This window comes from Homo sapiens, chromosome 5 (assembly GCF_000001405.40).
Source record: "Homo sapiens chromosome 5, GRCh38.p14 Primary Assembly".
Classification (NCBI taxonomy): Eukaryota; Metazoa; Chordata; class Mammalia; order Primates; family Hominidae; genus Homo; species Homo sapiens.
Genome location: NC_000005.10, coordinates 87,287,638 through 87,314,466, shown reverse-complemented (window position 1 = coordinate 87,314,466; position 26,829 = coordinate 87,287,638). Strand labels below are relative to the sequence as shown.

Genomic DNA, 26,829 nt, shown 5'->3' with positions numbered 1-26,829 from the left:
CCTGTCATTTCCTTTCCCACCCATTATGTTCTCTATTCCTACAACAGATTTTTCAGTTTTACTGGTCTTCCATCTCTTTATACATCTATAATATTATCTCCAGAAACAACTATGCCCAAAACACAAATCAAAACTGAAAAAGTCCCATTGCTTACAGAATTAAATCTAAACAACTGGTACAGCATTCAGTAATCTTTATGGCTTGGCCAGTCTCCACTGGACTACCTGTCATTTCTTAAACAAACCAAACATGCACTTTCTTTATTTTTTTATTTTTTATTTTTTATCTTTTTGAGACAGAGTTTTGCTCTTGTTGCCCAGGCTGGAGTGCAATGGCATGATCTTGACTCACCGCAACCTCCACGTCCCGGGTTCAAGCGATTCTCCTGCCTGCCTCAGCCTCCCGAATAGCTGGGATTACAGGCATGTGCCACCACGCCTGGCTCATTTTTTGTATTTTTAGTAGAGACAGGGTTTCTCCATGTTGGTCAGGGTAGTCTCAAACTCCTGACCTCAGGTGATCCGCCCACCTCAGCCTCCCAAAGTGCTGGGATTGCAGGCATGAGCCACCACGCCCGGCCCAAACATGCATTTTCAGACCTCTTTGATCACACTACTCCTTTAATTTGCAATGTCCTTATTGCCATCCCTTTGTCTACAGAAATCTCTCTCATTCTTCAGTGTCTACCTTAAATGTCATCTCGTTGATCCCTTGGTCATAATTAATCGTCTACCATGATGTCAGCTGATTTCTTAGACTTTTTTTGGCATTTTATCTTATCTGTAATATAATCAATCATTTTCATATCTGTTTTCTCCATTAAAGTAAAAAGTTACTTGTGGATACTGGGGGACATTTAAGTCATCTTCACAATTCTCTAGTCTAGCACATGGCACAATGCCTTGAACACAGTAGACACTGGCAGGTGGGAGATGAGGAAAACAAATCTGTCAAAAAGTCCTGCCTATGTGGAAATTCAAAAGTCATAATCGCTTACTGAAATCCACGTATCTAGCCAAACTGGAGAATGACTTTCACTCTCCCATTCAAGCTATTTCTCACCTCTCCTTCCTCTTTTTCTTGGTAAAGCCCGGCTTCCAAACTATTTGCATTGTCCTCCTACCCTGTGGTAGTTATCTATCACTCTTCCCTTCAAGGAATACCTATACCTCCAGGGAGAGCCAAAATTCAGCCACCTCAAAGATATTAGATTAGCTAAAGACCACCTGTGCCCAAAGTGATATTTTAAACCTAAACTCACCCAGTATAAAATGCCATTTGATCACATCAAAAACTGAGATAGAAATGTGAGTTTCCTCACTTAAACACCCTAACCTCCCCTACTCTGAACTCCCATAATATCTGCAGTCCATACAACTTGTTGACACTCAAAGATGATTTGTAAGACGCCTGTTCAGCCCCCATCCAATTCAGGGAAAACACTCACAGTCTCTCTGTGGGAACTCTTTCTCCCTCAATTCCAACAGGGAAAGTATCATTTTCCTTCAATAATCTGGCCTACTCATAGTTGATCATTCCCTGATAAACACCTGAACCAAGTATTCAAGTATTTTTTTCACACTCATACTAACAAATCTGTTTTTTTCTCTGATAGCGAAAGATTTAGGATGCAAGATCAAAGAAAGAGTTCTTGTTTATTTGTTTGCTAGATTTTCCAGTACTCTGAGGAGCCTGTGTATAAGAAGAAAGAATGAAGCTGAGAGGACCAAACAGATGAAGAGATGGAAATGAAGATTCATGGTAGCATTCACATCCCCAGTTCCAGATATCCCTGAGATTCCAGTTGCAAACTATCTTTCCCTTAGTTTAGTTGTTCATCTCATCCTTCGATAACCTCTAGCCCAGAAAGAGGAGACCCAGCGAAAAGGTCTCTAGGCCCGTTCAGATGTTTAAAAAATTGCTGGCCCCTAAAGAACTTCTGTTTCTGTAGGTTATAGCTGTCAATATTTACTGTATTAGAAATTAGAACTCAGAAAATCTTAAATGTTTAGAAATTAATTTAAAAATTACACATAATGGAGTAACTGTTAATACAGATAACATATTCTTCACGTAAAATATATTCTCCAAAAAAAATTTATGAGAAGAGCAGCACCAATTTACATTTTTGTACAAATGTTTACTATCTAACTTAACAGAAGACAGATTTCCTTATCTGTTTCTGCATTCAATATGTTGCTCTATATTGCTTTGATTCATAGTATATGAAGACTATTACTTACTAAAGTTACATATAAGTTAAATGAAATGTAGAATCTGACCACATGTATAATAACATTTGTATTCTATTCCATTAAAATCCACTGGTCTATCATTTACTGATGCATATCATAGGTTGCATCATGCAGTGATCATCTGAAAAATACTGCTTCACTGAGCTATGCAGATCTTCCAGATATTAACACATTTCATTTACATTATCAAAACATTACATTCCTTATATATCACCAGTATGCAGTAAAGGATTAATAACCCAGTAGGGCTAGGTTGTCCACACCTTGGATATTCCAAAGGAAGGTTTGGCCCTTGCCCACCCAAGGCCCTTGAAATATCCTGCTTAATAAGAGTGCCTTTGTTTACTGAAAGCCTTCAGCCACACCATACAGATTATGCTAACAATGTAATTTACGGGAGGGGCCTTGGTCCATGCAGTATCAGTCTGACCTCTGGAGTCAAACAGATGGAGTTACTAAAGTCAGCGACGTGGGCACTTTAGACCTTCATGAAAGATACCCAAAAGATCCCTGGACACCAAGACTCAGGTGAGTTCTCCTGGTTGGCAATACTTGACACGTGTTGTCACATACTGCTGCTGTGAGCGGCAGTTAAGCACTGTCTCTATGACTCCCCTGGGAGAGGGCAACTGGAAGCTTGCATCTAATCTCTGCTGGACTCTGCCCTATGCACCTTTTTCAATTGCTGATTTTAAACTGTAGCCTTTTGCTATAATAAACTATTATTACTGTGAGTATAACAGTTTTGCCATGTTCTGTTAGTCCTTCTAGAAAATCACTGAACCTGAGGTTGGTCTCAGAGACTTCTGACAACCATCAATCTCATCAGAAAAGTCATTAAGTATTTGGGAAACCCTCAAAGTCACAGTTGTAGATACAAAGCCTCCAAAATTCTAATTTTTGCTTGAAAATTTAAATATCGCCTGAAAGCACCAGATACTGCCAGTTTTTTTCCTTGAAGTGACAGGCTCACTTTGTTCTTTTTCAAGAAAATGTCTGCCATATACTGAAATCTAAATAACCATAGTTTGTCAGCTATTTTTCAAAGTAAAACTAATGTGTCATAAAAGAAGTGGCTAGTTCAGATATCGACTCAATAATCGCATAACTATTTTTTCTCAAGACATTGCACGTCAGAATATAGTATTATGTGTTCTTTCCATTTCAACCCACAAAATACTAAAAGGACATATACTCAAGGACTGCAACTTAATAAAATTAATAATTTTTACTGTTCTATCAAAGACATTCTTAACTGGAACTGGCTTTATTTTTTTCTGCAGCTATGTGGCAGCAAAGAATACAACAATTACTAGTATAGTTTGATGCATAAATTACTTGATAATGAATCATTTGGTACATTAATGCAATTACTACATTAATTTATACTAAGGCATCAGAAGTTTTTGCTTTGTACCATAGTGCAAATGTCAAGAAACTGAAAATGGCAAATAATACATTAGTATTATGAAAATTATTTGACTTTACAGACTTCTTGAAAGGGCCTCAGGGAACCCCATGGTTTGGAACTCTAGTGAAAGCAGACTAGAAGAGACTATCAATACCAGGAAAGCCATTCCAACCACTTTCTTGAACAATCTTAACTAAGTCTGTCAGCGCTTACATGAAAAACAAGACCATCACGAATATTGTAACAAAATTTTAATTCCTTCCTACTTCTTTATGCAAAGCCTACTCAGACTCCATTAGTTGTAAATTTTTGGTGGCCATTGTTTTCAAGTAAGATAACTCGATTGCAAAAAATAACTCAGGAAATAAGTTATTTCTAAATAATTTCTTAATTCAACTCTCATATTCTATTGACATATTTCAGATTTAACTTACTAGCTTTGCATCTTTCCTTTGCTTGCAAATATTTTGATGATAAATTCTAGTCTCTTTTGATTAGTAATTTTTCTTTAGATGAATCACACATCTATGGAATTCTTTTTTAAAATTCCTTATTTTCTTCTTGATAGTTTGCTATGATCCTCATCTTTAACACAATTTCAGAAATTTAGGAATGTCTTACATATAACTTAAAGTTATTCACAAAGAAATCAACCTCAAAGCAGTCAATTGATTTTCAAAAGCAACAAACTGCTTGACATTACTTGCCCCAACCAACAACAGAAGTCTTTCCTGTAGTCAAAACATTATATTACCTCTCTTTCTTCTTTTTCCTGGTAAAGCCCTGCCTCCAAGTCACCCAACAAGTAGAAGAGCTTTCAACTAGCACATAAACATAAATCCTAAAAAAGGATCTTATCACATATAAAAATTTAATGTATAATAGAAAGCATATCACAAAAAATATTCAACAAATACTGATACAACATTCAGTAAGATGCTTGGAAAGTTATCAACTTAGAATCCCAAACCATGCCAAATTAAATGTTAAACAAGTTAAAGTATTTTTTTAATACTATAAAAACTATAGGTTTATATATAAAATACTGATATATGATAATCTTTGCTTAAAAGCCAAAACAAAAACCAAAAATCAAAGAAATATACAAAGACTGAGATTTGACAGTACAAAATATATGAAAGCAGGCAAAATACAAGATGTGCATGTGCTCACATAACACAAGAAAGGATCATCACTGTGGCTGTTTACAGTATCATAAGACTAGATAAAACTTAATCACTAAAGAGTAAATAAATTATGTACATCCAATAGAAAACTATGTGGTTACTTAAAAGAGCAAGGCAGTTTAAACATTCAGAAGTACACAAACACACTGTGTGTATTACCATATACTTATCTTCAAGTCTTTGCACAAAAATGTCACTCAATGAGTCCTATACTGACTACCCTATTTAAAATGGCAACTTCTCCTCTCCAGTGCCCTACTATCCTGTCTGATTGCTCTTTTCTTTTTGCCATAGCACTTACTACCTTCTAGAATTCTATACTATTTATGTATGTATCATATTTATTGTATGTCTCCTCTCTGCAAAATATAACCTACAGAGCAACAGTCATCTTAATCTGTTTATTCATGTATCCTAACCACCTAAAATAGTGCCTGGGATAAGACAGGTTCTAAAAATGTCATCCCTTAAATAAACCAATATATACAGAATTGGTATTGACCCTAGAAAGTCTAACTGGGAAACTGAGAGCCAGTGGCAGAAAGGGATCTTTTTAATTAAAGAGTACCTTTTTTAATATGTTGTATTTTTCCCCTCTGTGAAAATATACATTGCCTATTAGAAAACTTAATCTTATGCATTGCTTAACGACAGGGATACATTCTAAGAAATTTATCTTCAGGCAATTTCATCATTGTGCAGACATCATAAAGTATACATACACAAATCTAACTGCCATGGCCTACTACACATGGTATAGCATATTGTTTCTAGGCTACCAACCTGTACAGCATATTGCTATACTGAATACTATAGGCAATTTTCACACAGTGGTATTTGTGTATCTAAACATATCTAAATACAGAAAAGACACAATAAAAATATGGCATTATAATCCTATAGGACTGACCAAAATGTCATTATGCTAACATTACTGTATGTTACACATAGGTAAACGTATACTTATGTGTTATACAAATGCATGTACATTATACATATATATACACAACAGCAATGGTTACTACCAAGAACAGTGAGATTATGGAGGTATGAGGGAGTAAAGACTTTTTCCTATATTGTTCATTATTTTGTTTTTTAATAATAGTTATAATACTTGTCACATTACTTGCAGCAGAATAATCTCCAATCAAGAACTGCTAGAAAAGACAAATAAAACACAAAAAATAAAAAATAAAAAGATCAGTCTGTTTAAATCATCCAAGAGCTCAATATGGAGGCAATCAGAACTTAAGGAACCAACATTTCAAAACAAATAGAATCCTAAAGAAGGTGCCATTCAGCAGCCACTCTGCCACTTTTTCTCTCAAACTATTTATTTGCATATTGTGGTCACAAAGCAAGAGGCTGAGAATTCATGCAAAAGACCCAGGTCTTCTGTCTGGGTCTTTTGCATGAATTCTCAGGAGGAAAACAATCCAGCAGAACTTTCAACAGTCTCACAAAGCTGGTGAGACAAATATTAAGAGACTTGAAGGGCCAGGATTCTGGTCATAAAAAAGAAACAGAGAACTGAACCACAGGCTTAACTATTTCCCTCCAGCGATATCTACTGAATTGTGAAGCTACACAGATAAGAAGCTAAGGAAAGACTGCATAGCAAACTGCAGTATTCAAAAGTTTTGTGATTAAGGTGATCTAACTGCATTCTATCTGCCTAACACAGGAGTGGCTAAGCCGTCCATCCTCTACAGCAAATGATCATTCAGATAACCTATAAAATTGTCAAACACAATGTCTGGCATTTAATTAAAATGTAACGCACGCCGAGAGAGTATACAAGAAGACAAACAAGTAAATCAATGAAACAAAGATATAAAACTTCAGGAAAAAAACAAAAGTTGGTTCTTGGAGAGACTATTAAAGTCAACATTTTGTTAAGACTGATCAAAGAAGAAAAAGTCACAAATTATCAATGTCAGACCCAAAGGGGAATAAATTTTAAAATTACAGACAGAAGGCTATAACAGTTATTCAAGAAAATACAGGAAAACACAAAATAAAGATGGAATTTAATGATAAAATTTGAATATTTAAAAAGTAATCAAATTTGTAAAATTAAGAGCTAAATATAATATTAACAGCAGATTAGGCAGTTTTGTGTTGTTGTTGTTGTTGTTGTTGTTGTTGTTTTGAGACAGAGTTTCGCTCTGTTGCCCAGGCTGGAGTGCAGTGGCACGATCTCGGCTCACTGCAAGCTCCGCCTCCCGGGTTGACGCCATTCTCCTGCCTCAGATTAGGCATATTTTTAAGAAGCTAATAATTTGCAAAGTTTCATAGAAAATACACTTACTAGAGCATAAAAAGAAAACAAGGACAGAAAATACAGAAAAGTTATACCTGTCAAACCGTAATGCAGAAAAAAAGAAAATACAGAAAAGAATACAAAAGATGAATGGGACATCGTTTTTTAAAAAATGACTAACGGGCTGGGCAAAGTGGCTCACACCTGTTATCCCAACACTTCAGGAGGCTGACGAGGGAGGATCCTTGAAGCCAGGAGTTCAATACCAGCCTGGACAACAAAGCAAGACCCCCAACTCTACAAAAAAGGTTTTCTAAAACAAATACGCTGCACACAGTGGCGCACACCTATAGTCCCCAGCTACTCAGGAGGCTGAGGCAAGAGGACTGCTTGAGCCCAGGAGTTCAAGTATGCAGTAAGCTATGATCGTACCATTGCACTCCAGTCTGGGTGACAGAGTGAGACCCTGTCTCAAAAAAAGGGGAGGTGGCGGAGGGTACGCAGACATACATGTACAGTACGAGAAAGGAGGCAATAGAGAATAGAACAAAAGCAAAGTATGAAGAAAAAATGGTCAAGAATCTTCCAAACTCAATGAAAAATGTTAAGGCAAAGATTCAAGCATTCTATATACCCCAGCAAGATTTTTCTTTTTTTCTTAAAAAAAAGGCCACATCTAGGCATATCATAGTAAAAATGCTAAAAACCAAAGGCAAGACTGAATTTTTTTTTTCAACTTTTAAGTTCAGGGGTACATGTGCAGGATTGTTACATAAGTAAATGTGTGTCATGGGAGTCTATTGTACAGATCATTTCATCACCCAGGTATTAAGCCTGGTACCTATTAGTCATTTTTCCTGGTCCTCTCCCTCCTACCACCCTCCACCCTCAATTAGGCCCCAGTGTGTGTTGTTCCCCTCTATGTGTTCAGATCATTCAGCTCCCACTTATAAGTGAGAGCATGCAGTATTTGACTTTTCTCTTCCTGCATTAGTTTGCTGAGGATAATGGCTTCCACCTTCATCCATGTCCCCGCAAAGGACATAATCTTGTTCTTTTTAATGGCTGCATAGTATTCCATGGTATATATGTACCACATTTTCTTTATCCAGTCTATTATTGACAGGCATTTAGACTGATTCCATGTCTCTGCTACCGTGAAGAGTGCTGCAATGAACATACATGTGCATGTGTCTTTATAATAGAGTGATTTATATTCCTTTGGTTATATACCCACTAATGAGATTTATGGGTTGAATGGTATTTCTATCTTTAGATCTTTGAGGAATTTCCACACAGTCTTCCACAACAGTTGAACTAATTTACACTCCCACCAACTGCGTATAAGCATTCCTTTTTCTCCACAACCTCGCCAGCATCTGTGATTTTCTGACTTCTTAATAACACCCATGCTGACTGGTGTCATTGTGGCTTTGATTTACATCTCTCTAATGATCAGTGATGTTGAGCTTTATTTCATCTGATTCTTGCCCGCAAGTACGTCTTCTTTTGAAACATGTCTCTTCATGTCCTTTGCCCACATTTTAATGGATTCTTTTCCTCGTAAATGTGTTTTAAGTTCTTCTAGATGCTGGATATTAGACCTCTGTCAGATATGTAGTTTGCAAAAATTTTCTCCCATTCTGTGGGTTGTCTGTTTACTCTGTTGATAGTTACTTTTGCTGTGCAGAAGCTCTTTCATTTAACTGGATCCCATTTGCCAATTTTTGCTTTTGTTGCAATTGCTTTTGCCATCTTCCTCATGAAACTTTGCCCAGGCCTATGTCCTGAATGGTACTGCCTATGTTGTCTTCCAGGGTTTTTATAGTATGGGGTGTTATATTTTAGTTTTATTTCATCTTAATTTTTGCATATGGTGTAAGGAAAGGGTCTAGTTTCAATCAACCTGCATATGGCTAGCCAGTTATCCCAGCACCATTTAATAGTCCTTTCCCCATTGCTTGTTTTTGTCAAGTTTGTCAAAAATCAGATAGTTGTAGGTGTGAGGTCTTATTTCCAGGTTCTCTATTCCGTTCCATCGGTGTATGTCTCTGTTCTTGTACCAGTACCATGTTATTTTGGTTACAGGAGCTCTGTGGTATAGCTTGAAGTTGGGTAGCATGATGCCTCCAGTTTCGTTCTTTGGCAAAACTAAATCTTAAAAGTAGTCAAAACAGAAAGACATTATATTCAAAGAAACAGATAAAAAATTTTTGCTAACTTTGCAACAAAAATACTGGAAAGCAGAGAGAATGGAATATCTTCAAATTTCTGAAAGAAAGTAACTGTGAATCTAGAATCTAATGCACAGAAACAATATCCTTCAAAAACAAAAACAAGTACATTTTCAGATAAATACAAAGTATATTTGACAACTGACGTTTACCAAAAAAAAAAAAAAAAAAAAAAAGGACTAAAAGAAGTTACACAGGCCAAAAAAAAAAGTTAAAAAGTTCCTAACCTACAGGAAAGAATGGAAATGCAGCATAAAGTGAAGAGCATCATAAAGAGTAAATACATGTGTAAACAAACATTGACTGTACAAAGCAGTAATATCTAATGAATATTAAAATGTGTACAATAGGCCGGCACGATGGCTAATGCCTACAATCCCAGCACTTTGGGAGGCAGATGCGGGTGGATCACTTGAGGTCAGGAGTTCAAGACCAGCCTCCCCAACATGGTGAAACCTCATCTCTACTAAAAACACAAAAATTAGCTGGGTATGGGGGCACACACCTGTAATCCCAGCCACTTGGGAGGCTGAGGCAGGAGAACTGCATGAACCCAGGAGTCGGAGGTTGCAGTGAGCCGAGATTGTAGCACTGTACTCCGGCCTGGGCAACAGAGTGAGACTCCATGTCAAAAAAAAAAAAAAAGTGTATAATAAACATGCAGAGCAATAATGCAAAAAGCAGAAGGATAAGTGAAGTTCAGATGTTCTAAGTTCCTAGAATTGTTAGGGAAATAGTAAAAGTAAATATTTTCAGTAGACTGTAATAAGTCAATGATACATGTTGTAATCTTTAGGACAATCACTAAAAGACTAAGATGTCAGGCTATATGAAACAATAAAACCCACTTATAAGAGATGTATCTTAAATGTAAGAATACAGAAATGTTGAAAGTAGAAGAATACAAAATGCTTTACCACACTAGCACTAATCAAAAGAAAACTGATGTCAGACAAACTAGATTTTAAGACAAGAAGTATCAGCTGGGCGCAGTGGCTCATGCCTGTAATCCCAAAACTTTGGGAGGCTGAGGCAGGAGGATCACCAGAGGTCAGGAGTTTGACACCAGCTATGGTCAACATGGTGAAACTCTGTCTCTACTAAAAATACCAAAATTAGCCAGGTGTAGTGGTGGGCGCCTGTGGTCCCAGCTACTTGGGAGGCTGAGGCAGGAGAATCACTTGAACCCAGGAGGTGCAGTTTGCAGTGAGCCGAGATCGCGCCTCCAGCTTGGGCGACAAGAGCAAAACTCTGCCTCAAAAAAAAAAAAAAAAAAGACAAGAAGTATCAAAGATAACAGACATTTCGTAATAATACAGTAATCAATTCATTAGAAATTGGTGTATGCATATCTAGAATTATGAATTATATATATGAATTATATATATATACCTTTCAAGTGAACATAGAACATTAATCTGAAACCATATGCTGAATCAAAAAGCGAGCCTCATTTCAAATGACTGAATTCATTCAGAGTATGTTCTCTCAAGGGAACTAAATCAAAAAATTACTAACCCCTAGAAAAACTGTAAAAGTTGACATTTATGTGGAAATATGTCTTCACAATATGCTAGTGAAGAAATCAAATGCAGACAGGTCATATAACAATTTGTGACACGTAGCTGAAGTTATGCTTGAAGGGAAATCTGTAACCTTAAATGCTTATATTAAAAAAGAAGACTGAGAAGAATTATTTAAGTATCTACCTCAAGAAATTAGAAAAGACAAAAAGTTAAACCTGAAAAGACAGAAAAAAAAAATAGGACACAATTAATGAAATCAAAAGCAAAGGTACAACGTAAGACTTCAGGAAAAAAAATGAAAAATTAGTTCTTGGAAAGATTAACAAAATTGATAGACTGGAAGAAGACTGAACAAATGAAAAAGGTCACAAAGTATCAATTTCACTAGTGAAAAAGAGACAGGTCCTACTGAAGAACAATTAGTCGTGCTATTATACATTGAGAATTAATGTAAAGATAGACAAGTAGACTAATGGGACAGAAGTGAGATGTAACAAACTCACACATGTATGAAAAATATGAGCTCTTTACTTGACGGAAATGGGTCAACTAGATATGGACATTGTTTTTAAATGAATCTTGACCTCTTCCTTGCTCCATTCACAAAAATCAATTCCATATGTACGTCTAAAAGAAAAAGACAATAAAGCATCTAGAAAAAAACACAGGCAAATACGTTCATCTCCTTCGAGCATGCAAAGATTTCTTAAACATGACTCCAAAAACCTCAACCTGTTTATGATTCAATGTTATTATATAAAGCTGAAAAAGTCAGAAATAATCTGGGATGTGAGAAGTTAGAATTCTGTTTATTCGGGAAGAGGTGGTGTGCGTATTAGGCAGAAAGCAGGCCCAAAAAGATATCTAGGATGCTGATAATATTCTGGGGTTCTTTAAGTATGGATTACACAGGTACATCCACTTGTTAAAACTCATTGCGTTGAACACTTAGAATACTATGCTTTAGTATAGTATACTATACTATACAGTATAGTATACTATAGTATATAGAATACTATGCTTTATGTGTGTTACACTTCGACCACAAAGAGAGAAAAAACTGATAAAATTAACTTCTGTTAAAAAAACAACAGTGCGAAATTGAAGATTTCTATAAGATATATACTCATCAAAAGACTCATAGCCAAGACAGAGAATAACCAGAAATAAATACAAAAAAAGAAAAACCAATAGAAAACTGGACAGAAGACTTGAAGACTTGAACTATAACCTCTTCATGAAAGAGGTTATAGAAATGACCAATGAACATATGAAAAAATACACACTTCCATTAGTCATCACATCAAGAAAATAAAAATTAAAACCACAAGAGCTATTACACCACCAACCCACCTACATCACTACAATGAAAAGGGTAAACAATACTAAATGTTCACAAGAATGTAGAGCAACTGAAATTCTCACATGTTGCTACTCAGAATTTAAATGGGTACAAACACTTTGCAAAACTATTCAGCAATACCTACCAAGCTTATTATATGAACATCCTATGACCCAGCAATTCTAATCCTAGGTGTATAACATAAATGTCTATACATGTTCATTAAAAGTCATTATCAGAAAATTCATAGCAATGCTATCTGTAATAGTCAAACTAGACACACCCTAAATGTCATGTCCATCACTAGTAGAAAAGGATAATACACTGTTGGTATAGTCACAATGTAACACAAGCAATGGAGATGAGTGAAATAGTGTCACATGCAACAACATGAATAAATCTCATAAACATAACAAAGTAACACACAAAAGAATAGATAGTAAAGGTTGAGTATCCCTAATCTGAAAATTGAAATCCAAAATGCTCCAAAATCTGAAACTTTGAGGACCACCATGACACACAAAGGAAATGCTCATTGGAATATCTGGATTTCAGATTAAGGATGCTCAACTGGTATAATGCAAATAAAGCCCCCCAAAAATACGAAATCTGAAACACTTCTGGTCCTAAGCATTAAGGGAAACTCAACCTGTATGTGATTCAATTTTATTATATAAAACTCAAAAAGTCAGAAATAATCTAGGATACAAGAAGTTAGAATTTTGTTTTTCAGGAAGAGGTGGTGTGTGTATTAGGCAGAAAGTAGGCACAAAAAGACATCTAAGATGCTGATAATATTCTGGGGTTCTTTAAGTATGGATTACACAGGTACACCCACTTGTTAAAATTCATTGTGCTGAACACTGAAGATACTATGCTTTATATGTGTTATACTTCAAGAAAAAGTATACCCAAGGGAAAAAAAGTAATTCTAAATACAGAAAAACTCTATACTAAAACTTTCATTTCAACACTAAAGGGAGCATGCTTTAAAATTAGTATGTGCATATATATTATATGTAATTATACATATACATAAATAAAACATTAGACAGTCAAAATTATATCTACACTAAACACTTTATAACAATGTGTTGTCCAGCTGTTACCCTCTCCCTCATCTGTTATATTGTCTTGGACTTAATCTCCCTTAACCCCCCAATACTGCCAAATGTTTGTAGAGGCCACAACAGTGGTAACTTGAAAATTCACTTATGTCCCATTCAGCAGCCTAAGACTAAGTGGTTGGTACTAACAGCTGAGTCAATGGGTGACTCACAGCCAGGACCTAACCCTGCCTCATCTTTTCTGCCTTTCCGTGACTAATGCCTCATGCCCACTAAGGTCAGAGACAGGACAGAAATTCATGCATCTGCCTCTTTGGCATATGTAGTTTTATACCTCTCAGGATTTTGTCACCATTTTTCATTTTCTCTGTTCGTTAACTATGTAAATTTTAATCATATAATCATCTTTTAAACTTTTTCAATAACAAAAAATCTGAATATTTTCTTTTCATATAAAAAGCTCTTCTAATAGTATGCATTATTCTAAAACTCATTTTAACATCCTTACAACAAAATAATTAAATTGTAGATATTACCTTATAAATAATTGCATAAGATTTCATCCAAAACTTTATTCTATCATGTTTCAACTATATTTCTGTCATTAGTAAGCAGGATAAACTTACCAGCTAGGGAAGCTTTCTTGTAATCCATCTAACTCTTTTTATTTTAATATTTTTTTGAGACAGGGTCTTGTTAGGTTGTTAAGGGCGGTCTCAAATTCCTGGCCTCAAGCAGTTCTCCCACCTCAGCCTCCCAAGTAGCTAGGATTACACGCAGAGGCCACCCTGCCCAGCTTATGAGACATATCTCGCTTGGTCATCCAAGCGAGTGAGAGTGCAGTGGCAAGATCAGAACTCACTGCAAGCTCAACCACTTGGGCTCACGTGAACTTCCTACCCCAGCCTCCCAAGTAGCTGGGACCACAAGTGTGCTACCACCATGCCCTGCTAAACTTTTTATTTTTATTTTTTGTAGAGACAGGGTCTCCCTATGTTGCTCGGTTTGGTCTCTAACTCCCGGGCTCATGCAATCCTCTCTCCTTTGGCCCCTCAAAGTGCTGGGATTACAGGCATGAGCCAACTGCACCCAGCCCTCCGCTTAACTCTTAATAAGCAACACTAAATATCTATTATTCTTGTTTTATTGGTCATCCCTTCACCACATATTATAGTGTCCAAAGGAAAAAAATTATAAGAAAATAGTATAACTCCTTAGCACTGTTGCCTCTACATAATGTTAACACACCATTCCCTTGCATACTGATTTATTCTTTCAACATCTATATAGGTTTCTGACTCCTGGAACAATTCACATCAACATCACACCTACCACCAGAAAGCAGGTGTCAAACGTTCCCCTTCTTTGTAAGAACCATATACAGTACTCACTTCTGCAGCACATATACTAAAAATTGGGATGATAATAGAGAAAAGATCAATATGACCCCTGCTCAAGGATGACATGCAAATTTGTGAAGCATTCCATATTTTTTAGGCACTCTTACCACACACACACACACACACACACACAAACGGTTAACTATGGGAGATGCGGGATATGTTAATTTACTTGACTGTAGTAATTACTTCACTACATATATGCATATCAAAACATTATGTTGTGTACCTTACATATAGACAATAAAAAAGAAAAGAGAACCATATACAAACCTTATATGTAAGTACTTTATTATAGCCTTTTTGGTAACTATAAAACATCTGCATCACTGTGAATTAGAAATGGAGAAATGTTACTATATTTTACAAAAGGAAACAATCATGAGGAACTTAAATTAACTTTTCCAATATAGTGATTCACTAAAAGCATTAAAAACCACAAACTCAGGTTTTCCAAAGGCTAAACTTGGGTTCTTCCTCTATACTACTCCCACTGTGAACACCAGGTAGATAGAAACTTAACTACTTGCTATTACTATGTTTCTCAAAACACGCCCTGCAAAGAATGATCACTAAGCATGTAAGTTTAGAAAAAGCAGAGTTAAACAAGAAAGTTTGTTTAGTATATTAATGACTCATAGGACTCCTGTATTTATGTCTAAGGTTGCAATTTTTTGAGGGTGAAAAATCAGACCTTGGCGATGACCTTGAGCAGTAGGATATAAAGAACTCCCAGATGCTTAGCGTTCCATTAATGGAACACTAGGCATAAATAAGTTAATGTACATTCTGGATTTCCAAGAGCACAGGCCCAAAATGCAGAAGTTCTCAAATTATTTAACTGTCAAAAAGTCACAGAACGCCAATTCCTTTAACTGAACAATGCAGTGCACAATTTAGGAAGTGTTATGCCATGCTTATAAAACAGCTGACACTTGTTAACTGGCTAGTAATTCGCTCTCTTTGTTCAAAACTGCTTTCTTCTGATACAATGTCTATCTCAATTCTCTAGGTTTTGATTAAATACATCAGCAAATATTGAAAATAAAGCATCATTTACTTTCAAATACACTAGGGTAAAAACAAAAAATCCAACCTCAATGATTGATTTATAAAATAGCTAAATATTTACTATTAAGAATAAAAAAACATTATCAAATATTATCTTTTGCTATTCTGAAAAAACTACTCCCTTTAATTTGCTATCCCCTCTAACTACTCATTCTCTGAAAGGATGTAGCCTCCGAATTCCCACAAACCAATCTCTTTTTAACCCCTTTAAAACTTGTAACCTTTAAACAGGCTTTAAGCTGCTGCCTGTCAGTTTCCTGTTCCTTCCTGTTTCTTCTTCTTTTTTTTTTTTTTTTTGAGACAGAGTCTCGCTCTGTCGTCCAGGCTGGAGTGCAGTGGCATGTACGATCTAGGCTCACTGCAAGCTCCGCCTCCCTGGCTCACACCATTCTCCTGCCTCAGCCTCCCGAGTAGCTGGGACTACAGGCACCCGCCACCATGCCCGGCTAATTTTTTGTATTTTTAGTAGAGACAGGGTTTCACCATGTTAGCCAGGATGGTCTCGATCTCCTGACCTCGTGATCCACCCGCCTCGGCCTCCCAAAGTGCTGGGATTACAGGTGTGAGCCACCGTGCCCAGCCTCCTGTTCCTTCTTTACATGTAAGAAGATTAAAAGTCACCACTCCATCCTAACAAGTAAAAAGCTAAGCAAACTGAAAAACCAATAGCTGTAGTTAGATCCTTCAGAGAAGTGAGGTCACAGGGCAAACCACGGTTCCCCAAAATTGAGAGACAGGTAGGCAGATAGAGAAAAATCTCAAGTCATCAGAGCAGAAACCCACAAGCAGAAACTTCCTTGGGAACCAGTGCCAGGGTAAGAAAGCCTCAACTATAATGACAAATTGCTGGAGACTCAGTGCCAACAAATGACAATTAAAAACTCCAGGAGGATCCAGTCATGTGAGGCCCTGACACTCTTGTGAATTTTACCTCCAGGAGCTCTACTATGCCCTTACAGTAAATATCAGAGAAAAATCCCTTTGTGCTTCTGGTAGGGGGAAGGAAAAAAGAACAATTTTGAAATACGCCAGAGCAATCAGTTCTTAACAAGGCCTGCCTTGAACAGAAACTAATTTACCAGAGCCTAACCTACCTGTGGGTAAAGAAGTACTGTAAACAACTCCAGTTCACTTCAGCCTTTCACAAGAGGGAAGGGAAATACCAAATTCCAGTCCTTTCTAACCATTCTGTCCCACCTAAAGGTGACAGGGATAAGGGTGGGGGACTGAGAAACAATGGTTATGTTCACAGTCCAGGAGCACAGGTTCACCAAAAAACTGGGACCTAATACTAGAACTACACAATGCCTCCCTTATAACTACATCACTAAAGGCCTATTTGCAGCAGTTCCTTTTACCTAGTACATCATGTATACCTTTCAATAAAAAATTACAAGACATAATAAAAGGCAAAAAACAGCTTGAAGAGACAGAGCAAGTATCAAAAACAGACATGTCAGGAATTCTGGAGTTACCAGACTGGGAATTTTTTAAAACTATGATTAATATGCTAGGTGCTTTATGAAAAAGGTAGACAATATGCAAATACATAGACAATGTAAGCAGAGAAACGGAAATTCTAAGAAAGGATAAAAAGAAATGTTAGAAATCAAAAGCAACATAACAGAAATGAAGAATGTCTTTAATGGCTTCATTAGTAGACTGAACATAGCTAAGGAAAGCATCTCTGAGCTTAAGGGTCTAACAACAGAAACTACTTCCAAAACTGAAAAGCAAAGAAAAAAAAGAGAGGAAAAAGAAAGAGTAGAACATTCAAGAACTGTAGGAAACTAAAAAAGGTGTAACTTAAATACACTGGTAACACAAGGAAACAATAATGACTAAGAATTTCCAAGTTCATATCAGACACCAAACCACAGATCCATAAAACTCAGATAACATTAAGACTGAGGCCCCTAAAAACCTAAAAATAATTTTTAAAAATCTAAGCATATCATATTCAAGCTTCAGAAAATCAAAAGCAAAGAAAAAAATCTTGAAAGAAACCAGAGGCAAAAAACACCTTGCCTACAGAAGACCAGCTTCTCCTTAGAAACAATGCAAACAGGAGAGTAGAATGAAATTAAACTAAAGTGTTGAGAGAAAAAAAACATGAACCTAAAAATTTATACCATGTGAAACTATCCTTCTAGAGTGAAAGAAACATAAAGACATTCTCAGACAAACAAAAATTGAAGACTTGTGTTGCCAGTAGACCTGCCTTGCAAGACACATTAAAATAATTTCATGAAAGAGGATAATGATATAGGTCAGAAACTCAGGAAGAACATGAGAGAACAAGTGAAGGCAAAATAAAAACTTTTATTTTTCTTATTTTTAATTCAGCTAAAAGGTAACAGTTCAAAATAATAGCAATGATGTATCTGCTTGCGTATGCCTATGTATAAGTGAAATGAATGACAAGATAGAAAAGGACAGAAGCAAGGAAACAGGAATATTTTGTTATTATAAAGTACTTACACAACCCATGAAGCAATACAGTACTATTTGACAATGTGCTTGGAAAACTGTAAATGTATATTGCAAGCTCCAGGGCAAACACTTAAGTTAGGAAAAAAAAGAAAAAAAAAAAGGCTGGTTGTAGTGGCTCACACCTGTAATCCCAACACTTTGGGAGGCCAAGGCAGGCAGATCACTCGAGGTCAGGAATTCAACACCAGCCTGGCCAACATGGCAAAACTCCATCTCTACTAAAAACACAAAAATTAGCTGGGCGTGGTGGCGCACGCCTGTAATCCCAGCTACCCCAGAGGCTGAGGCAGGAGAACTGCTTGAATATGGAAGGTGGAGGTTGCTGTGAGCAGAGATGGTAACACTGCATTCCAGCCTGGATGACAGAGCAAGACTCCATCTCAAAAAAAAAAAACCAAAACTAGAGGACAGGCGTGGTGGCTCATGCCTATAATCCCAGCACTTTGGGAGGCCAAGGTGAGTGGATTGCTTTAGCCCAGGAATTTGAGACCGGCCTGGGCAACATGGCAAAACCCTATCTCTACAAAAAAAAGCACAAACAGTAACTAGCCAGGCATGGTGGTGTGCATCTATCGTTCCAGCTACTTAAGAGGCTGAGGTGGGAGGATCACTTGAGCCAGGGAGATGGAGCAGTGAGACAACATCACGCCACTGTACTCCAGCCTGGGTGATACAGTGTCTCAAAAAAATAAATAAATAAATAAAATAAAATAAATATATATATATAACTGGTGTGCTCAAAAATGAGAGAAAAATGAAATCATATAAAATAATTAAATCACAAAAGACAGAAAAAGTGCATAACAAAAAGTTACAAAGAAACAGGGCAACAAATAGAAAATCGTAAGAAATATGGTGAATATTAATTTAACTATATCAATAACCACTTTAAACATCAAGTCTAATATACCAGTTAAAAGACACTGTCAAAGTAGACCAAAAAACAAGATCCTACTATATGAACAAGAAACTCATTTTAAATATAAAAACACATACAGATTAAAAGCAAAGGGATGGAGAAAGATACACCACGCTAACGCTAATCAGAAGAAAGTGGGAGCAGCTATATTAATTTCAGACGGAGCCAACTTCAGAGCATGGAAAGTTACCAGGGATAAAGAGAGGCATTAAGTAATGATAAAGGGATCAATACCTCAAGAAGACCCAATGATCCTTAATATATATATGCCTAACAATGAAGAGTAAAAATAAAAAAAAACCAGAACTTCAAGAGGAAATACATAAATGCACTATTAGAGTTGAGATTTCAACATGGCTCTATCAGGAATGGGCAGATCCAGCCAGCAATAAATCAGTAAAGATATAGTTTAACTCAGCAGCACTTTCAATTAACTGGATATAACTGACATCTATAGACTACTTCATCCAACAACAGCAGACTGCACATTCTCTCCAAGCTCGAATGAAATATTTACCAACATAGACCACATTCTGGGTAATAACACACCTTAACAAATTTATAAGTATAGAAATCATATAATGTCTACTATCAGACCACAGAATTAAACTAGAAATAAATAACAAAACATAGGAAAATTCCAAAGTACTTCTGAATAAACACATTAATCAAAGAGAAATGTGAAGAGCAATTTTAAAATACTTTAAATTAAAATGAAAATACAATTTAACACTTCTGGGATGCAGCAAAAGCAGTGCTTGGAGGAAAACTTATAGTTTGAATGCACATGTAAGAAAGATAAAAAATCAGTAATCAGAGCTTCAGCTAGGAGCACTGGCACACACTTGTAGTCCCAGTTACCTGGGAGGTGAAGGCAGAAAAATGGATAGAATCCAGAAGTTCTGGACTGTAGTACATTATGCCCAGTAAACCTCCACGATTAGTTTGGTATCAACACCCCTGGGAACAGGACACCACCAGGTTGCCTAAGGAGGGGTGAACCACCCAGGTTGGAAACAGAGCAGGTCAAAACACAGATCAGTAGTGGGATTGCACCTGGGAATAGCCACTGCACTCCAGCTTGAGCCACATAGTGAGACCCTGTCTCTTAAATAAAATTTGTATATAATAATAATAATCTAAACTTCATCATAGAAAGCAAGAAAGAAAAGCAAATTAACTCCAAAGTAAGCAGATAAAGAGAAATATAGAAATTACAGCAAAAATCAATGGAATTGATAACAGGAAATCAATAGAGTAAATTAACAAACCCAAAAGTAACTTTTCTGAAAAAATCAATAAAACTGATAAGCCTCTAGCCAGACTTACAAAAAAAGACAGAAGACAAATTACTAATATCAGAACTGAAAGAGAAGATCTTTACTAATCGCTACTGACCCCAAAGTCATTAAAAAGATAATAAACTAATATTGTAAATAAATCTACGCCCACAAATTTGCAAAGCTAAATGAAATGGAGCAACTACTTAAAAAACATAATCTGCCAAAACTCACAGTAGAAAAAAAAATCTTGAATAGACCTACATCTATTAAAAAAATTGAATCAATAACTAACTTTCAGAAACAGAGGGAACCAAATCCAGATGGGTTCACTGGTGAATTCTAATAAACATATAAAGAAAAGAATACCAATTCTCTACAGTCTCTTTCAGAGACATAGCAGTTACTTCCTAAGTCATTCTGTGAGGACAATACTAACCTAATACCAAAACCAGACAAAGACATTACAAGAAAAGAAAACTACAGACCAATCTCTTATGAACATAGATGCGAACATCCTCAACAAAATATTAGCAAATTAAATCCAACAATGTACTTACATACCATGATCAAGCAGTATTTACCAAGACTGGCTCAACATTTTTAAAAATCAATGTAATCAATCACGTCAGGGTGAAGAAAAATCACATGATCATATTAATAGATGCAGAAAATCCATTTGACGGTATCCAATACCCAATCATGACTAAAACGCTGAGCAAATTAGGAATAGAAGGGAACTTCCTCAACTTGATAAAAAAAAAAAATCTACCAAAAAATCTACAGCTAACACCATACTTAATGGTGAGAATGTCAAAGCTTTCCCACCAAGATGGGGAAAAATGCAAGGACACCTCCTCTTACCACTGTTTTTCAAAATCATACTCAAAGTCCTAGCTAATGCAGTAAAACAGAAAAAGGAAAAAGGTATACTGATTGGAAAAGAAGAAATAATACTGTCTTTGTTCTCAGATGACAGGATTGTCTAGGTAGAAAATTCTAAAGAACTGACAAAAAACCTCATGGAACTAACAAGCAAGGTTGCAGAATACAAGGAAAGCCACTGGCTTTCCTGTTTGTACAAAAGAAACTTAAAACACATTACCATTTACATTAGCAACCAAAAAATGAAATACTTAGGTATAATTCTAACAAAATATGTACAGGATCTATAAAAGAAAAACTACAAAACTATGATGGAAGATAACAAAGAACTAAATAAATGCAGAGATACTCCAAGTTCATGAATAAGACTCAATATCAACATGTCTGTTCTTCCCAACTTGACGTACAGATTTGGCACAATTCCAATCAATATCCCAGCAATTATTTTGTGGATATCAACAAACGGATTCTAAAGTTTTTATGGAGAGGTAAAAGACCTAGAATAGCCAACATAACATTGAAAGAAAAAGTCGGAGGGATTGACACTACTAGACTTATTATAATGCTATAGTAACCAAGATAGTGTGGTATTTCAGAAAAGGACAAATAAATCAATGGAACGGAACAGGAAACCCAGAAACAGACCCAAATAAATATAATCAATTGATCTTTGAAAAAAGAGCAAAGGTATGGATCAAAGACAGACTTTTTAACAAACAGTGCTGGCACAACTAGACATCCACATGACAAAAAAAAAAAAAAAAAGAATGTAAACACTCACCTTACAGCCTTCACAAAATTTAACTCAAAATGGATCACAGACCGAAATTAAAATGCAAAACTATAAAACTCCTAGACAATAACAAAAAAGAAAATCTAATGACCTTGGCTATGGTGATGCCTTCTCAGACACAAAAGTCACAATCCATGAAAGAAAAAACGAATAAGCTGGATTTCATTAAAATTAAAAACTTCTGCTCTGCAAAAAGCAACTGTCAAGAAAATGAAAAGACAAACCATAGACTGGGAGAAAAATATTTTCAAAAGACACATCTGGTAAAGGACTGTTATCCAAAAATATACAAAGAACTCTTCACAACAATAAGAAAACAAACCTGATTTTAAAATGGGCAAAAGACCTGAACAGACATCTCACCAAAGAAGATATAAAGATGGCAAATAAACACATGAAAAGATGTTCAATATCATATGCATTAGACCATTCTTGCATGGCTATAAAGAAATACCTGAGCCTGGGTAATTTATAAGTGGTTTAACTGGCTCATGGTTCTGCAGGCTGTGTAGGAAGCATGGTGTCAGCATCTGCTCAGCTTCTGGGTAGGCTCAGGGAGCTTTTACTCATGGTGGAAGGCAAAGCGGGAACAAACATATCACATGATGTTTGGTGAAAGCAGAGCAAGAGTGAGTAGCGGGCAAGGTGCCACACTTTACAACAACCAGACCTCGTGAAAACAAACTCAATATCAGGAAGATGGCAGCAAGCCATGAGGGATCCTCCCCCATGACCCAAACCCCTCTCACCAGGTCCCACCTCCAACATTAGGAATTACATTTCAACATGAGATTTATTTATTTATTTAGGAGACAGGGTCTCACCCTGTTGCCCAGGTAGGAGTGCCGTGGCACAATCATAGCTCACTGCAGCCTTGGCCTCTCAGGCTTAAGTGATCCTCCCCACTCGGTCTCCTGAGTAGCTGGAACCACAGGTGTGCTGACCACCATCTGGCTAATTTTTTCTTTTTGTAGAGACAGAGTCGCAGTCTCATGTTGGCCAAGCTGGTCTCAAACTCCTGGCCTCAAGCAATCCTCCCACCTCAGCCTCCCAAAGTGCTGGGATTATAGGTATGAGTCACCACCCTGGCCATAACTACAGATCTAGAGGAGTCACATAGCCAAACCATTATATATCATCATATGTGATTAGAAAACAGCATATTCAAACAAGATATCACTATACACCTTTTACAATGGCCAAAATCCAAAAATCTGGCAATATCAAATGCTGACAAGAATGTAGAGCAACAGGAACTCTCACTCACTACAGGTGGGAATGCAAAATGGTGCAGCCACTATGGAAGACAGTTTGGCAGTTTCTTCCAAAACATACTTTTACTATACTATCCAGCAATCAGGCTTCTTGTTATTTATCCCAATAAATTGAAAACTTCTGGCCACAAAAAAACCTGCATACAAATGTTTATAAGCACCTTTATTCATAATTGCCAAAATCCACAAACCACCACTAGCTGACTGGATAAATTATGGTGCATTCAGACAAAAAAAGAAATTAGCTATCAAACCATGGAAAGAAAGAATGAATCCTAAATGCATGTTATTTAGTGAAAGAAGCCAATGTGAAAAGGCTACATACTGTACAATTCCATCTATACAACATCCTGGAGAAGGTAAAACTATGGAGACAGTAAAAAGATTAGTGACTGACAGGGGCTAAGGGGGAAGGAAGAATGAACAGACAAAATAAACAGGATTTTTAGGCAATGAAACTATTTTGTATGACACCACAATGTGGGATACATGTCATTAAACATTTGTGAAAACCTATAGAATGTACAATGCCAAGAATAAACCCTAATGTAAACTATGAACACTGGGTGACAATAATATGCTAATGTAAGTTCACCACTGGAAACAAATGTGCCAGTGTGCTGGATGTCAACAGTGGGAAAAAGAGGGGGTGGAATATGGGAACTCTACTTTCCCCTCAATTTTGCCATAAAGCTAAAACTGCTCTAAAAAATAAAGTTTATTAATTTTTAAAAAGTGAACTAGGGGAAATAAAATTTTTGTGCCTATCTAGAAGTATTCACCATTTTACTCAAACTGCATTCCTGTCCCTTATACACCACCTTTAACCATTAAATCCAATGCCTTTTTTGATTTTGCATCCTCCTTGTCCTCATTGCCTTGAAATAAATCACTGTAAAAATGGAATACAAATGGGTAAAGATGCAAGGCAGAAGGGTTTCACCCAGAACAAGCTATATAACTTGCTAACTGTCAAGAAACATCATTAAATAGCAAAAGTCAAGATGACTGCTCCAGGATATATAACTTAAACTCAAGTGAGTCAACTATTAAGAGTTGATGGGATATAAGGTTGTTGATCCATTTAACAAAGCTCGAAAGTGACTAATATAGAAACCACAAGGACAATTTATCTATTAACAACAACAACAAAATTAAGCCAGGCACGGTGGCTCATGCCTGTGATCCCAGCACTTTGGGAGGCCAAGGAGGGAGGATCACTCAAGTCCAAGAGTTCAAGACGAGCCTGGGAAATTGGTGAGAACCTGTCTATACAAAAAATAAAGCATTAGCTGGGCATGGTGGCATGCATCTGTAGTCTTAGTTAATAGGAAGGCTGAGGTGGGAAGATCGCTTGAACCTGGGAGGTTGAGGCTGCAGTGAACAGTGATTACACCACTGCACTCCAACCTGAGAAACAAAGCAAGACCTTGTCTGAAAAAATAATAATAATAAAATAAAATACATGCATGCCTGCATGTATCTCTGCCCAGCCTAATCTCCCCTACAAGCCTACTAAGTGGGAAGCCAAACTGTAATCCTAAGATTCCCTAATGAAGATTGCCAACTAATAAATTTCAACGAAATTACAAATAGAGGGAAAAACCACCATTTTACAGTATCATTACAAGAAAATAAATGATTCAGGTAAAAATAATCAACGGCTATTAAAACCAATGGGTACTTATTATTTATTAATTATAAAGGGAAAGGTATTTTTCATAATAGCAAAATCTGGTGCAACCCACCTTAACCAAGTCCAAACTTAGGTACATCATCAATAGGATAATTGACGTCATGTGCCCTTATGTACTGAGAACTCATGACCTATGGCATATCTCTGCCAGTAATGGTTAATCTAAGTGTAACTATGAGAAAACAATCAAATACAAATTGAGACACATTCTGCAGAACTATCCTAAACTCTTCAAAAATGTTAATGTTACAAAAGAAATAAAAAGCAAAAAGGACTGTTCTAGATTAAAGGAGACAAAAAAGACATAACAATTAAATGCAGTTCATTAAAACAGACAAATATAAACGACACTATAGGAATAACTGACGATATATGAATAATACATTAATGTTAAATTCATTATATTTGGTTTTGTAGGCTATTGTCCTTATTCTTGGGAAATACATGATAAAGTATTTCAATGGAAAAGAACAAGATCTCTGCAACTTACTTTTAAACAGTTCAGCAAAAGTAATATATACATGTGTGTATAAAGAGAAAGGGACAAACTAAAATGTGACAAAATATAAAGTTGCTCAGTATTCTTGCAACTTTTCTGCAAATTTCAAATTTTCCAACACAAATACTTGGGGTAAAGTTGAACATGCAATCTGGACCCAAAAAAAAGCCTATATCCAATAAAAACATTTACATAATAACAAGAATAACTCCACCAGAAACAGATTCCATCCTTGGGCTAAAAAAAGCCCACTCACTTGTACTTAGATGACACCTGACAAGCTAACCCTTAATAAGGCTCCATTTTACATGAGTCCATTATGACCACATCGTTTGCTACAATCCCTATTATTTAAATAAGCCAGTATTACCAAGCAGGTACTGTCAGGTCTTTCTAACCAGAAAACTTGTGTAATTCATTGCACACTGATTTAATTGATTTCGTGTGGTTTAATTCTCTGAGAAAACAATTCTTTCCAAGTTGGTTTGATGACATCGTTGCTGCCACTGTTTGAGAAGGAATCTTTATTTTTTGTCATATTACATCAACTTCAAGAATGTCCCAGCTGTATTCAGAAGAATAAATGAAAGTCTGTCATATAATCAAGGTAGGGAGAAACGTGTCCCAACAGAAGAAATAGTAAATGGAGAGGCATAAAATTGCTTCTGGTATATATATATGGTATATATATATATATGGTGTGTATATATATGGTATATATATATGGTGTGTATATATATGGTATATATATGGTGTGTGTATATATGGTATATATATATGGTGTGTGTATATATGGTATATATATGGTGTGTGTATATATGGTATATATATGGTATATATATATGGTGTGTGTATATATGGTATATATATGGTGTGTGTATATATGGTATATATATGGTGTGTGTATATATGGTATATATATGTTATATATATATGGTGTGTGTATATATGGTATATATATGGTGTGTGTATATATGGTATATATATGGTGTGTGTATATATGGTATATATATGGTGTGTGTATATATGGTATATATATGGTGTGTGTATATATGGTATATATATGGTGTGTATATATATGGCGTGTACATATATGGTATATCTATGGCGTGTACATAATGGTATATCTATGGCGTGTACATAATGGTATATCTATGGCGTGTACATATATGGTATATATCTATGGCGTGTACATATATGGTGTATATCTATGGCGTGTATATATATGGTATA

The 26,829-nt window shown here is 36.1% G+C and overlaps 2 protein-coding genes, 1 long non-coding RNA gene and 2 pseudogenes across 7 annotated transcripts in view, besides 2 other annotated features; 3 read left to right on the top strand and 2 right to left on the bottom strand.

The window, feature by feature from the left end:
* The window catches only part of CCNH (cyclin H), a 101,460-nt gene extending 98,464 nt beyond the window's left edge, over positions 1-2,996 (top strand). For all 4 annotated transcript variants that reach the window (NR_157069.2, NR_157070.2, NR_157068.2 and 1 more), the window contains one exon: positions 1,672-2,996. Coding sequence is in view for 1 of the 4 variants with exons in the window: in NM_001364075.2 (NP_001351004.1) it covers positions 1,672-1,716 (45 nt within the window). In the remaining 3 variants the exon portion in view is untranslated. The remainder of the gene's footprint in view (positions 1-1,671) is intronic.
* Positions 1-26,829, bottom strand: part of RASA1 (RAS p21 protein activator 1) — a 124,034-nt gene that overhangs the window by 77,450 nt on the left and 19,755 nt on the right. The window lies entirely within an intron of this gene.
* LOC124901022 (uncharacterized) lies at positions 4,520-18,329 on the bottom strand. The gene is made up of 2 exons (XR_007058861.1): positions 14,960-18,329; positions 4,520-9,274 (listed from the first exon to the last, which is right to left on the bottom strand). It is a non-coding gene; the product is annotated as an uncharacterized LOC124901022 (long non-coding RNA).
* Positions 13,689-14,189: an enhancer, noted in NCBI's record as "H3K27ac hESC enhancer chr5:86596095-86596595 (GRCh37/hg19 assembly coordinates)". NCBI's record gives its function as "activates a minimal SCP1, AML or CMV promoter by ChIP-STARR-seq in naive H9 embryonic stem cells {active_cell/tissue: H9 hESC(naive)}" and the evidence as "EXISTENCE:reporter gene assay evidence [ECO:0000049][PMID:30033119]".
* Positions 14,190-14,690: an enhancer, noted in NCBI's record as "H3K27ac hESC enhancer chr5:86595594-86596094 (GRCh37/hg19 assembly coordinates)". NCBI's record gives its function as "activates a minimal SCP1, AML or CMV promoter by ChIP-STARR-seq in naive H9 embryonic stem cells {active_cell/tissue: H9 hESC(naive)}" and the evidence as "EXISTENCE:reporter gene assay evidence [ECO:0000049][PMID:30033119]".
* On the top strand, positions 14,670-14,780 carry RNU6-606P (RNA, U6 small nuclear 606, pseudogene; annotated as a pseudogene).
* On the top strand, positions 19,994-20,278 carry RN7SL629P (RNA, 7SL, cytoplasmic 629, pseudogene; annotated as a pseudogene).